The following is a 12328-nucleotide window of genomic DNA, read 5'->3' as shown; positions in this document are numbered from 1 at the left end:
TCCAGTCCATGACTACAGAGGGAGAGAGTCTTGTTCCCACCCTGCCCTCCGTCCCTTTCACACCCCTACTCCCTGTGGGCAGTCCCTGTTGTGTCTTGTGTACCCACCCCCCGCCCCAAGAATTTCTTAACTGGCAATCCAGAGTTGCTTTATGCAAATACAAATGCATATTTTTCTTTCCTGCCCTTTCTTACATAAAAGATGGAATACTATATGCTTCTTCTGTACCTGGCTTTTTTCTCCACCAAATAATGTATCCTAGATATCATTTCATATCAATATGCAGAGAGCGTCATCAACTTTCTAAAAATGTGTTTTGAGGTTTAATGCAGCTCTAGCCTAGATCAAGATACAGCACCCCAGCTTCCTTCTGCCCCTTCCAGTCAGCACCCCTCCTAAAGTAACTGGTATTCTGATTCATAAATCTCTCAGTTACAGTTTTACCTGCTCTTGATTTCATTTCTCTCTGATGTTTTTAAATCGCTCTATTGCTTACATAAATATTTTTTAAATTTTTGCTGGGTCAGCATCACCTGGAGGTGTAGTTAAATACAGATTTCTACTTTAAGTTTCTGAGCCAATAGGCCTGGGGTAGGGCCCAAGAATGCGTGTTTTTAAGCTCACAGGTGTTACTGATGCTATTGGCCCATGGCCACATGTTGAGTAACCCTGGTGTATTATAACTATATCTACCAGTTCCCTATAGATAAAACAACATGGGTTGTTTCCATTCATTTACCATTAAAAACAGTGCTGTGGTGTGTAACCTTGTACACACGTCATTTTGACTGTAGCAGGTACCAGCTGCAGGATAAATTTCCAGAAGTAGAATTGCTGCATCGAAGGATTGATGCGTTTGTAATCTCAACAGAAATTGCCAAATTGCCCTCCAAAGAGGTGGTACCGTTTTACATTCCTGCTGGCAGTGTGTAAGAAAGAGTCTGTTTCCCCACAGCCTTAGCAAGAATATATTGTCAAGCTTTGTATTTTTGCCAATCTGATAGGTATGAAATGGTATCTTAGTGTAGCTTTAATTTGCATATCTCTTCTGTGTAAGGCTGAGCATTTTTTTAAATGTATAACAGCCATCTTTTCTGTTTCTTTTTTCTGTGGCTTGTCTGTTTATATCCTTTGTTCATTTCTACTCGATTTTTAAAAATCCTTTTATTGTGAAATTATAGCAACTTACTACATATTAGCAAGATTAGCCCTTTGTCTCTGATCTGAATTGTAAATATTTTCCCCAGGTGATCATTTGCCTCCAGATTTTGTTTGTGGTGGTGTTTCCATATCTAATTCTGGATTTATATATAGTGTAAAAAATTCAAAATAATACGAAAACAGAGTTGGCTCTTGGCACAGCAACCAATAGAAGAAAATTTTACAAATCCAGATTTGCAGGGATTCGGAAAGAAACTAGGAGTACAGTGATGCTCTTTAAACAACTAGCTTTCAGACAAAAGAAGAAGCTTCTAGGGCAGATGCCTGCCCTGGCTCACATGAGTTCTCAGAAGCAGATGGGATGTCAGTAAGAAGTGGACACCAGCTCAGGTTGTGCAGAGGAGGTCAGAGACCGCACAGTGGGATCCAGACAGGACTGGGAAATGTAAAGGCAGGCAGGAGAAGCCGCTTGCAGGTGACCTCAGAAGGAAACAGGAAAATATCTATTAGTCATAGGAAACGGAGCAGGAGGTCAAGCAGAATGTGACTCCCCAAAAGGGACAGCTGCTCACAGAGGTTGTCAAAACAGCCAAGATTCTGATTATTTCAGGTCTCTCTTTAAACTGTAATCAAAGATAAGCAAAGTAAGTGTCATTTTTGATGGGAGGTGGGATAACCCACTACAGTAGGAAGGTCATTATTGAAGGTGCTTTTTCCCAAAGCTAGATTAATTCCTACACTAGAGCATATTGGCGTACTCCATAGGGTTATATAGGAAGAAGGCTCATAGAGTATTGGTGTTGGAAAGGTATCAGGGGTCATGAAGGTTGGAGGTTACAAATCTGTGGCCTGTAGTCAGAGTTGGCCTACAGATGTGTTTTCTTTGGCCAGTCTGGTGTTGGCCCATGCAGTGTTTTTAAAAATTTCGAATTAGTCACCAGCATTTTAAAATCAGATGATTTCACGTAAAGATTTTTCTTTGCTTTTGAAACATTGGGACTCCAGCCACTGGGTTGCGCCTCTCCTGCAGCCACAGTGGCTGAGATGCAGCTACGCCACTGCCTCCCTCACCCCTGTGGGACACAGTGTGGGGTGTGCCCCTCCTCTCTAGTGTGTTCCTGACATCGAGGCTGCCAGTTACTACTGTTTATCTCAGTTTTAACGTGTATTTATTTTAGTAAGGTTAAAAGGTCAGTGGATATCTCTTAAACTTGTTTCTCTCAAAGTGGAGATGTGAAAGATAGACCAGAGGGTGATATGTTTAAAGAAAAGCAGTGGAAAGCATATTTCTCTGTGGAAGTGAAGAATATGACCTGCTTAATGCAGTGGGCCTCTGTATTGAAAGCAGCTATCTTAAGACACCTGGACCACCTGGCTCATTTGTGCTCCCCCCGGTCCCTGTAGGCGTTTTGTTTTGATCCAAAATCAGAGTCACCTCTCTGGCCTCATAGGCCAGAGATGTGCTGGACTTATTCTTCTAAAAAAATAGAATAGATTATTGCCAAACGATTGCTGTTCTTTTTGAGAGCTCATGCACGACAGGGGCAGTCTATGAGAAGTGGGAGCTCTAACCTGGGTCGTGTGAGGATTTTTATTTATTTATTTTTATTTTATTTTATTTTATTTTGTTTTGTTTTATTTTATTTTATTTTATTTTATTTTTTTGAGATGGAGTCTCTCGCTCTGTCTCCCAGGCTAGAGTGCAGTGGCGCAATCTCGGCTCACTGCAAGCTTCCCCTCCCGGGTTCACGCCATTCTCCTGCCTCAGCCTCCCGAGTAGCTGGGACTACAGGTGCCCGCCACCACGCCCGGCTAATTTTTTTTTGTATTTTTAGTGGAGACGGGGGTTTCACCATGTTAGCCAGGATGGTCTCGAGCTCCTGATCTCTTGATCCGCCTGCCTCGGCCTCCCAAAGTGCTGGGATTACAGGTGTGAGCCACCGCGCCCAGCCTTGTGTGAGGATTTTTATAAGAATTAGTGGCAACCAAAATTTAAAAAGAAAAAAAAATCAAAAACATCAGTTTGTTTGTAGGCATCTGGAAGGGGACAAAGGTCCAACCTCTATAGTTCTATGAAAACAGGGCCAAACCAATTTATTACTACGTTTGCACCAACCTACTACTTTCCTCCTCTGATCAAAAGTAGGAAGATAGGGCTGGGTGCAGTGGCTCACACCTGTAATCCCAGCACTTTGGGAAGCCAAGGCAGGTGGATCATCTTAGGTCAAGAGTTCAAGACCAGCCTGGCCAACATGGCAAAAACACATCTCTACTAAAAATACAAAAAAAAAAAATTTGCCGGAACTGGTGGCCCGCGCCTGTAATCCCAGCTACTTGGGAGGCTGAGGCAAGAGAATTGCTTGAACCCGGGAGGTTGTGGTGAGCCAAGACTGCGCCATTACACTCCAGCCTGGGTGACTCTGTCTCAAAAAACAAAACAAAACAAAAAGTAGGAGGATAGCAGGTAAGGAGGGAAACCATGGAGATAATTTGTGCGAATCAGAATATAGCTTTTGATTATTTGTGTATGAAGCTGTTCCTTATGATTGTAGGAGTAAGAGGTCAGAGGAATGGTATATTACCAGAAATGGAGCTGTGATGGGGTGGGATGGGGGGCTGTGTTGACCTTGAGGTGGCATTTGGTGGCTGGGTTCTAGGAGTGAGGAAACCCAAGAAACGGACTGTGTCCCTTAACTCTGTGAACTCTTTCCTCATTCACTTTCCTTGCTTATCTCATGAGATAGTTAGGATGATCAGACGAGATAATGCATGTTGCAGAATTTTAAAACCATGAAAGAGGCTATAGAATATAGGTACTGTTCCAGAAGGAACTTGAGAATCCATCCGCGTAGCCAGCTGTTAGCTGGTTCTTTTGATTCCGTCACTGACTCTATCCGACGCCCATCTCTTCTCCGATTGCTCTGCCTGGAATTCCCACGGGCACCTTCTGACTGCTCTCCTGGCTTCCAGCCTTGCCACTCTAACCCATTCTCCCTGTGGCAGGAAGAGAGGTCTCTATGAACATGTGACGAAAATCCTCCAGTAGCTCTCATTCCTTTAGGGTACAGTCCGCATGTCTTGCCCTGACCTCTAAGGGGTGCTTCCTGATCTCCCACCTCTGCAGGTCCCCAACCTTCTGCTCCACACCCCCAGCCTTCAGTCCACTTCAGAGCATTGACACAGCTGGCTGTTGTTGTTTTTTAAATTGTAAAATACACATAACATAAAACTTACCATCTTAACCATTTCTAAATGTACAGTTCAGTATTGTTAAGTACATTCACGTTATTATACAACCAATTTTCAGAACACTTTTCATCTTGCAAAACAAACCCCGTACCCATTAAATAGCACCTTCCCATTCCTCTCACTCCCAGCCCTTGGTAACCACCATTTTGCTTTCTGTCTCTGAATTTGACTAGTCTAGGTAACTCATATATAAATCGAATCATACAGTATTTGTCCTTTTGTGACTGACTTATTCAACTTAGTCTAATGTCCTCGAGGTCCACCCATGTTGTAGCATGTGTCAGAATTTCCTTTTTTTTTTTTTAAGGCTGAATCATCTTCCACTGTATGTATACAGCACATGTTGTTTATTCATTCATCAATCCATGGACACCTGCGTCGCTTCCATCTTTTTGGCTGTTGTGAATAGTGCTGCTATGGACATGGATGTACAAATATTTTATTGAAATCTGGCCTTCAATTACCCCAACACTCAGAAGTGGAATTACTGAAATATGTGGTAATTGTATTGTTAACTTTCTGAAGAATCACTATACTGTTTTCTGCAGTGGCTGTACCATTTTACATTCCCACCAACAATGTACAAAGTTCCCAGTTTCTCCACATCCTCACCAATACTTGTTGTTTTTCTGTTTTTTGCTTGTTTGTTTTTTCCTCATTGTAACCGTCCTTATGGGTGTGAGGAGATAACCTTGTTGTGGTTTTGATTTGTAGTGCCCTAATGATGAGTGGTGTTGAGTATCTTTCATGTCTTTATTGGCCATTTGTATTTCTTCTTTGGAGAAATGTCTCTTCAAGAACTTTGTCCCTTTTAGAATCAGGTTGTTTGGTTTTTGTTGTTGAGTTACAGTTCTTTGGCTGCTGGTGTTTAAGTGTACAAGGATGTGGTGTGTACCCGCTAAGCTCCAAGAGGGCAGGGGCTGTGCCCACCTTGCTCACTGCCGTCTCCCAGTGCCCAGCATGGAGCCCTGTGCGTGGTTCGTCAGCCAATGAGGATGCATGTGCGCAGGTCTCAACAGCAGAGGAACACGAGTCTGTGTTTATTTCTACATTCATTCTAGTTTCAAGAAGGATTTCAGATTATAGTCATATTTCTTTGGAACCCTAGTATTTGGTATCAAGAATGGCAGGTGACCCTCGTAAAGGGCTTTAAAATGGATAATCTAAGGTCTTGTCAGGTACTGTTTCACTGATTTTTGGACTGTGCTTGTTTGGTTGAGTATAAATCCCATTATGCCTAGTAAGGATGATCTTGATGATGAAACTATGTTTAGTTATTTTATAATTTCAAAATATGCGGCCACCTAATTGGTCTCTTTATGAAGAAGGCAAGGAAAATGTAATCCTGGCGTCACATGTGGTAGAGTGGAGAGGCTGGGCCATGAGTCTCCTCTCCCTCATCTTCGTGTCTTCTCCTCGGGTGTTCAGTGCCTGACTCCCCATCCTGGATCCCAGCCCTTCGGTCCTCAGTGGCCAAGGCTCATCAGCTCTCTCTCACTGACAGCCCTCCTTCTCCCTTCCTCTCTCTTCTCCTGCCTTGATTCAGGCCCTGTGGCTTCTTACCTGGATCACAGGAACAGCTTTCTAACCGGTGTCCTTACCTCTGGGCATGTTCACTGCTGCCAGAGTAAATGTTCCAAAACGCAAATGTCATCATTTTCCTGTTTAATTTGAATTCTTCAATATTTCCACGTTGCCTTCAGGATAAAGTCCACACCCTTTTACATGGCACACAAGGCCACGCACAGCAGCCCGCCGCTCACCACGGTGACCTCCCCTCCGCCCCCAGCAGTCCAGCCTCAGTCCCTTCATTCTTTGTGGATGCTGCTTTCTCTGGCTAGGATGTCCCCAATACCGGCCTCTCCTGCTGGTCCCCGAGTTCCAATGCCGTTCTGTTCACCCTGACCAGTGAACAGTTTACCCACAACCTCCACCCTAGCCAGAGTGGGGCCCTCGCCTGCTGTGGCTCACTGTATGTGCTTCTCAGGAGCGCTGCCCGTCTGTAGTGTAATCGTACATCTGTCTGTTAGTCTCCCTGCTGCACTGTATGTTTTCCAACCGGGGGTGGTGTCTTTTATCTCCATGTTTCAACAGTTAGCCCAGTGCCTCTCACAGAATAGGTCTTTGTGGAAAGGAAGAGGGAGAGGAAAAAGGAAAGTTTGTCTGATTTCCAAGATCATGTTCTCTCTGTCCTCGCCACCTCCTCCCACCCCCTCACCACTGCCCACCGTTACATTCTCCCAGTCTAGGGTGGCTGAGATTAGGGTGGACTCCCAGAGTGACCCAATCAGCTTGACTTTGTTCCCTGGCCACCCTGAAACAAACTGAGCCTGGCTACCTTCTGGTAAATGCATCCCAGCAGTGAGATGACTCATGTGTGTGTGACTCAGAGCGAATGCAGCACAGCTGGAGAGCAGCCATTTGCCTGGTGGAGGTGGGGGTTGCAGAGAGCAGCCCAGACCCAGGCACACGGCCACCAGGCTCACAGCCCCGCAGCCTGCTGCCCACTGACTGGAGCAAGGATGCAGATTCTCCTCTGTCCACAGGCTGCAATGGCGGAGTTTCACAAGATTTCTATACCTGGGATGTTGTCTAATTTATTACTATTTAATTGTATTTTAATAAGCCACCATTTATTGCAGACTTACTGTAAATTGTTGGTACTGTTGTAAGCAAATTATCTCATTTGATCCTTGCACTAGCCCAACAACAAAAATAATAGCAAGTGCATATATAGCACTTAACTATGTGCCAGACACTGTTCTAAGCACTTCGCATTTATTCATTTAATTCTCATAATAAACTTACTATGCAGGAAATGTTGTCCTCATTTTTCAGATGAGAAAACTGAGGTACAGAAAAGTCACACATGGAGATACCCCTGGGTCACATAGGACAGAGCTGCAATACAAACTGAAGAGTCCAGCTTCTGAGTCCACATTTAGCCCTTACGCGGTGCTTTCTTGAGAAAGCATAACTATAGTCCCATTTTACAGGGGAGGAAACTGAGGCTCAAAGAGGTTAGTCCTTTATCCACAGTCACACAGTTAGGGAGTGATAGAGCCAGTGATGGGGATTGGTGGTCTCTAACCCTGGCTCTGTTATAACCACTGTGCTCTGCTGCACAGACTCAGGAGATACTGTTATGACAATACAGCCATGCACTTGGTTCTCCTTAGCCATCTCCATTGGTGCTTCCAAGTGCTAAGACCAGAGGGTGGGCAGGATTCTGGGGCAGAAACCTTCTTCTGAGTCTGAGGCTATAGCAAACGGGTAGCATTTGATGGCGCATTTCGCCTCCCATCTCATTTCAGTTTTGGGTCCCAGAGTATTTCCTTCCCCCAGGGATGCTGATGGGACTTTTATTACCTCCACAGACAGTGAGACCGTGCACTACCACTATGGCCCTAAGGACCTGGTCACAATCTTGTTCTACATCTTCATCACCATCATCTTGCATGCTGTGGTTCAGGAGTACATTTTAGATGTAAGTGACATGTCTGGATTCTGAGATCAGAAGCTGGGGAGGTGCCTTGGGGTGGAGGACCTGGCCTTGGAGGAAACTGCAGCTCTGCACCCATTCATCCTCCAACTTGCTTGCACTGGTTGGGTCTATTGCCTGGGCTTCCTTCACCACACTTTGGTTTCTGTTCACAGCCTCCTTTAATCAGCACATGGGACAGCAGTATTTATTACACAGAGAGAAAGCTGTCTGGAGATGGTGTCCTTATGGGTCTGGGGCACATTGAGTAATTGGGGTTATTTTCTTTACACATAGGCTAGAGACATTCATCTTGCCACTTTCTCAAAATGCTTGCCTTAGACCAAGCACTGTATGCACGCAGTAGGCTTACACCAAATGACTTGGATTATGGCCAGCTGCAAACTTCTAACGATGTTCAACCCTTCTGTGGGGAGAATACAAGAGTTTGAAACCTGCCCAATATGGATACATTTGTATATTAATATGAGGGGTTTTCTTTATTCTTTAGAAAATCAGCAAACGGCTTCATCTCTCCAAAGTCAAACACAGCAAGTTCAATGAATCTGGACAGCTGGTCGTCTTTCATTTCACCTCGGTGATTTGGTGCTTCTACGTGGTGGTGACGGTGAGCCATTCTCAGGACTGCTGAAGCGGGAGAGCTCAAACCAAGGGGCAATTCCAGCTCTGGGATTGCTAATCAAATGACTGCAAAGGACCCCTTGCTCTTTTTCTTTTTCTGTTAAGGGGAACAAGTTTCTTAGAACCTTCTTAGCTTCTTAGAACTGAAGCTATGTTTGCATCCTCATGGTATTACAGAGAGATGCCATTTTATAGCTGGAGAGAGTCATCTTGGCCAACAGTCACCACTTGTTATAATCATTATGCAATACTGCAGTAATGATACCATGTATCTACATAATACTGTATTGTTTTACAAGGCTCTTCTACAAACACTGTCCCATAAGATACATTTGATGTTCATTCTGATACCCATGTTACAGATTGAAGAGTTCCAAGCTCAAATTTTGCAGTATGCCTGTGGTTCTGTGGTTTTGAAACAGCAAAGGATAGTTTGGACTTGGAGATAGAGTTCCAAGCCCAGCTTACTCTCTGTTTTACTACCTTGGCCTTCTATAAACGAGGCCAGCCTCACTCTGTCAGCTCATCAAATCCTGTGAGAGTCAATGCCGTTTCAACAAATGCCTGCAGGACCAGACAATTTTCCCCTCCTTTCTATGTAAACAGACTCTTATTTCAAGCAGCCTTTGATACAGCAAAATTCCCTCATAGAAAGGAATGTGGATGGTCCTTTGGAGTTTCCTGTAACAAGACCTTGCCTGTCCTGCTAGGAAGTATTGAGTTAGTACCCACCACCACCTGGAGCTCTACCTTCCTGTAACCTGGCCCCCTGAGAAATCCATGCCTGGGTCTTGGAAAATTCAGCAACCCTGTGACCTCTTTAAGATTTCCTTCCCGGCCTTCCACAGATCCCTCACTTTCTTCCTCTTCTTTCAGTGACAGTGATGGGCGCTCCCATCACAAGGAACTCTGTCTCCAGAGTTGAATGTTGAATTCCTATTCTCAAAGCCAGAGTCAACGTGTCCTTTTGTACATTGTTTTTATTCCTATTATCATTTCATCATAGAGCAGCTTTCCTAAGCAGAATACTAGGAATTTTAAATGGGGGGCCCAAGACTTCTGTCCTCTCAGGCAAGGCTGTCACAGTCCCAGGGGCAGATTGACACTGTGTGAACAGTGCATCCCTGCTGTTGTGCCATGCACACAAGTCCCTAGACTTCCAGGTTTCAGACCACACCCAGTCCCTTGACGTTCAGTTCATGCCCACCCCCGGAGGCCTAAGCTGCTTTGAAGCAGAACAGCCTCAAGATACCAAAGACGCCGTTCAGGAGGATTGCCTCATCTCTGAATCACTTTTACCCTTTCAACTTCACCCCCAAACATTCCACCCCAGCTGTGACACGTGGCGACCAGATTTGGAGGCTAGAGCCAAGTTGCTTAACACGCCTTCCAGGGTGTGAAATGCTCAACAGCTCTGTCTTTGCCTCTCTCAGTTCTTCAAGGATTTGAACATGATGCTAATTAGTTTGAGAGCACATAGGCTTTTCTTGGGGAGGCACATAACAGTTTTTTATTCTGGGAAGAGCCAGTTCCCCACTCAACATATTCAATAGGCACAGAGACCAGGGGACCACGGAAAGCTCCAGTGACCCCCGACCCCCGCCAACTCTTCCTAACAACATTTGACTCCTTGCCCTCCTCCGTTGGAACTGTGCTTCCTGGAAGGAAAGTGATTGAAGAAGAAGAGATGTAGTTCTGTAAAAGGCATAAAAACAGCTTGTTTTTTTAAAAAAATAATATTTTTCTGTTATGATGCAAATTTTTTCATGACTCTTCTTTCTCTCACTCTCCACAGTCATTTCATCGGCAGGTCCTGCCAGCTCTGCCTCCCAAACACATTGAGACTGTCTGCTGCTTTCTGCCTGCACCACCAACCCTAGTCTAGTGACCTTTGACCAGGGGAGATTTGGGCCTGTAGGGGACATTTGGCAATATGCTACTGGTATCTAGTGGGTGGAGGCCAGGGATGCTACGATATGGCGTTTAATGCACAGGACAGCCTCCACAACAAAGAACTATCTGGCCATAGTGCCAAGATTGAGAAACCTCGATCTGTATAGTCCAAGCCACCATCATCTCTTGCCTAGACACTAAATATCTTTTTTCTAGAAGGAGACTGTTTCCACTCTTGTACCCTCCCACCCCAATCCATTTTCTGCTCAGCCAGATGGATCTTTTAAAACAGAAATAAAACCATACATTCCCGTGCTTAAAAGTCCCATCACACTTGCAGTGAAATCGTTTTTTCCTCCCCATTCATGTGATCTGGGCCCTGCTAATCTTGCTGGTCTCATCTCACTGGCCACACCCCCACTTTTGGCCTGGCTGTTCTGCATCCTGGGCTTTGTACTGGTGATTTCTCTGCTCAAGGGCTCCATCCCCTGCCATCCCATGGCCAACTCCTTCTTGCCATCCAAGTCTCTGCCTAAATACCATCTCCTCAGAGAACCCCCCACCAATTTGCATTTTCTGCACTGTGCCTGTTGCTGGTGCTTCTCTTGATTGTGTATTCTGTATTCTCTGTTTCTCCCACTAGATTCTGAGCTGCCTGCTAGCAGGCACGGTGCTCACTGCTGTATCCCTGGTATGGTGCCTGGCACATACTAAGTGCCCACTAAATGTTGGCTATGAGAATGAGTGAATAAACTGCAAATGCATCTTCTCTCTCCAGCCTTCAACATTTTTAAAGTAATGAATTGGTTGTTTTAATAAATATCATAAATGATCATTTTTTAAAAAGTGAACAATATAGAGAAGTTCAAAAAAGCAAATTCCTCCCACCAGAAATACCAGTATTATTCTGGTGTTTGATTGAAACATTTCTCTCTGCATATATAGAGGCAGAGCAGTGGGAGTGTGGCTGGACCGCCAATAATTTTATAGGAATGTCAGCCTCCAACTTTTAATCTACCTTTGATCGACTACTCATTGTTGAGGGAAAAAGAAAAAAAACACTCCACTGGAGAAAGCAGGATGGGTGGGCGTTTGGTCTTCCCTGTCTGACTTCCTTGCTATATTTGGCTTCATCTTTTAGAACCTAAAATCCACCGTAGATTTTAGAACCAAGTAGAGGGAATGTCCTTAATGCTGGTGCTTGTACCAGGACCGGTTTCTACTAACAGACTAGTTGCTTTAGGGCAGATTTTTAGTGCATGGTTGTTCTGATGGTCAAATAATATAAGGTATGTCTGAATTTATGTAGCACTTGCCTGTGCTATATCTGAATTATGCTGTTCTTCGTGGTTGTGTTTGTTCACACACCAAAAGGAAGGCTGCTGGGGAAACAGGAGGGATCTCTCCACCTTGTTGAGGCCTTGCTTAGCTCATGGGTGGATTTGTAGAATCGAGAGAACAAAGGATTTCAAAAGCCTCTCCAAACCATCTGCTGGGGCCTGTCAGTGGATGGGATTTGGGGTGGGTTTCAGGTGCTTGCTGGGTCACACTCAGCCCCCTGTGGACTCAGGTGCTTTGCGTGCCTGAGCTCAGAGGGTGCCCCAGCCTCAGTCCTCCTTCAGACAGCTGCCTGGACAGAGGTCTGGAAAAGGCTGTTCTCAGAGCAGTGAGTCATTTTTCCTCTGGCTCCCCCTGCTCTCCTCCCTCCACCCTTTTCCTCCTCCAGTCCCCGTGGACTGGACATTCACAAGCAGGCAACATTTTTCTGGGGAGTTTCTTTGCTTTTTGGCTTCAAAGTTCTGACCTCTTTGTCTCTAAGTAAGAGGCCAAGCCAAGGAGCGTTCCTGTTTAAAATCACGAGATTTTCTGGGCTTTACATTGCTCTCAGTGCTGCTTTTCTTG

The 12328-nt window shown here is 44.9% G+C and overlaps 1 protein-coding gene across 2 annotated transcripts in view, besides 1 other annotated feature; it reads left to right on the top strand.

Moving 5' to 3' along the window:
• The window catches only part of TRAM2 (translocation associated membrane protein 2), a 79653-nt gene that overhangs the window by 52536 nt on the left and 14789 nt on the right, over positions 1–12328 (top strand). The window contains exons 1-3 of one of the 2 annotated variants that reach the window (XM_011515005.3): positions 4718–4909; positions 7788–7897; positions 8403–8519. In XM_011515005.3, coding sequence (XP_011513307.1) covers positions 4837–4909; positions 7788–7897; positions 8403–8519 — 300 coding nt within the window. In that variant the 5' untranslated portion in view covers positions 4718–4836. Of the gene's footprint in view, positions 1–4717; positions 4910–7787; positions 7898–8402; positions 8520–12328 lie in introns of those variants that run through there. The other variant, NM_012288.4, reaches the window with a different exon arrangement.
• Positions 6869–6918: an enhancer, noted in NCBI's record as "active region_24680". NCBI's record gives its function as "activates an Ori minimal core promoter by ATAC-STARR-seq in GM12878 lymphoblastoid cells {active_cell/tissue: GM12878}" and the evidence as "EXISTENCE:reporter gene assay evidence [ECO:0000049][PMID:35858748]".

The sequence above is a fragment of the Homo sapiens genome, chromosome 6 (genome assembly GCF_000001405.40).
Source record: "Homo sapiens chromosome 6, GRCh38.p14 Primary Assembly".
Taxonomy (NCBI): Eukaryota; Metazoa; Chordata; class Mammalia; order Primates; family Hominidae; genus Homo; species Homo sapiens.
Note: the sequence above shows the minus strand (reverse complement) of the source record. Positions and strands in the feature narration are given on the sequence as shown.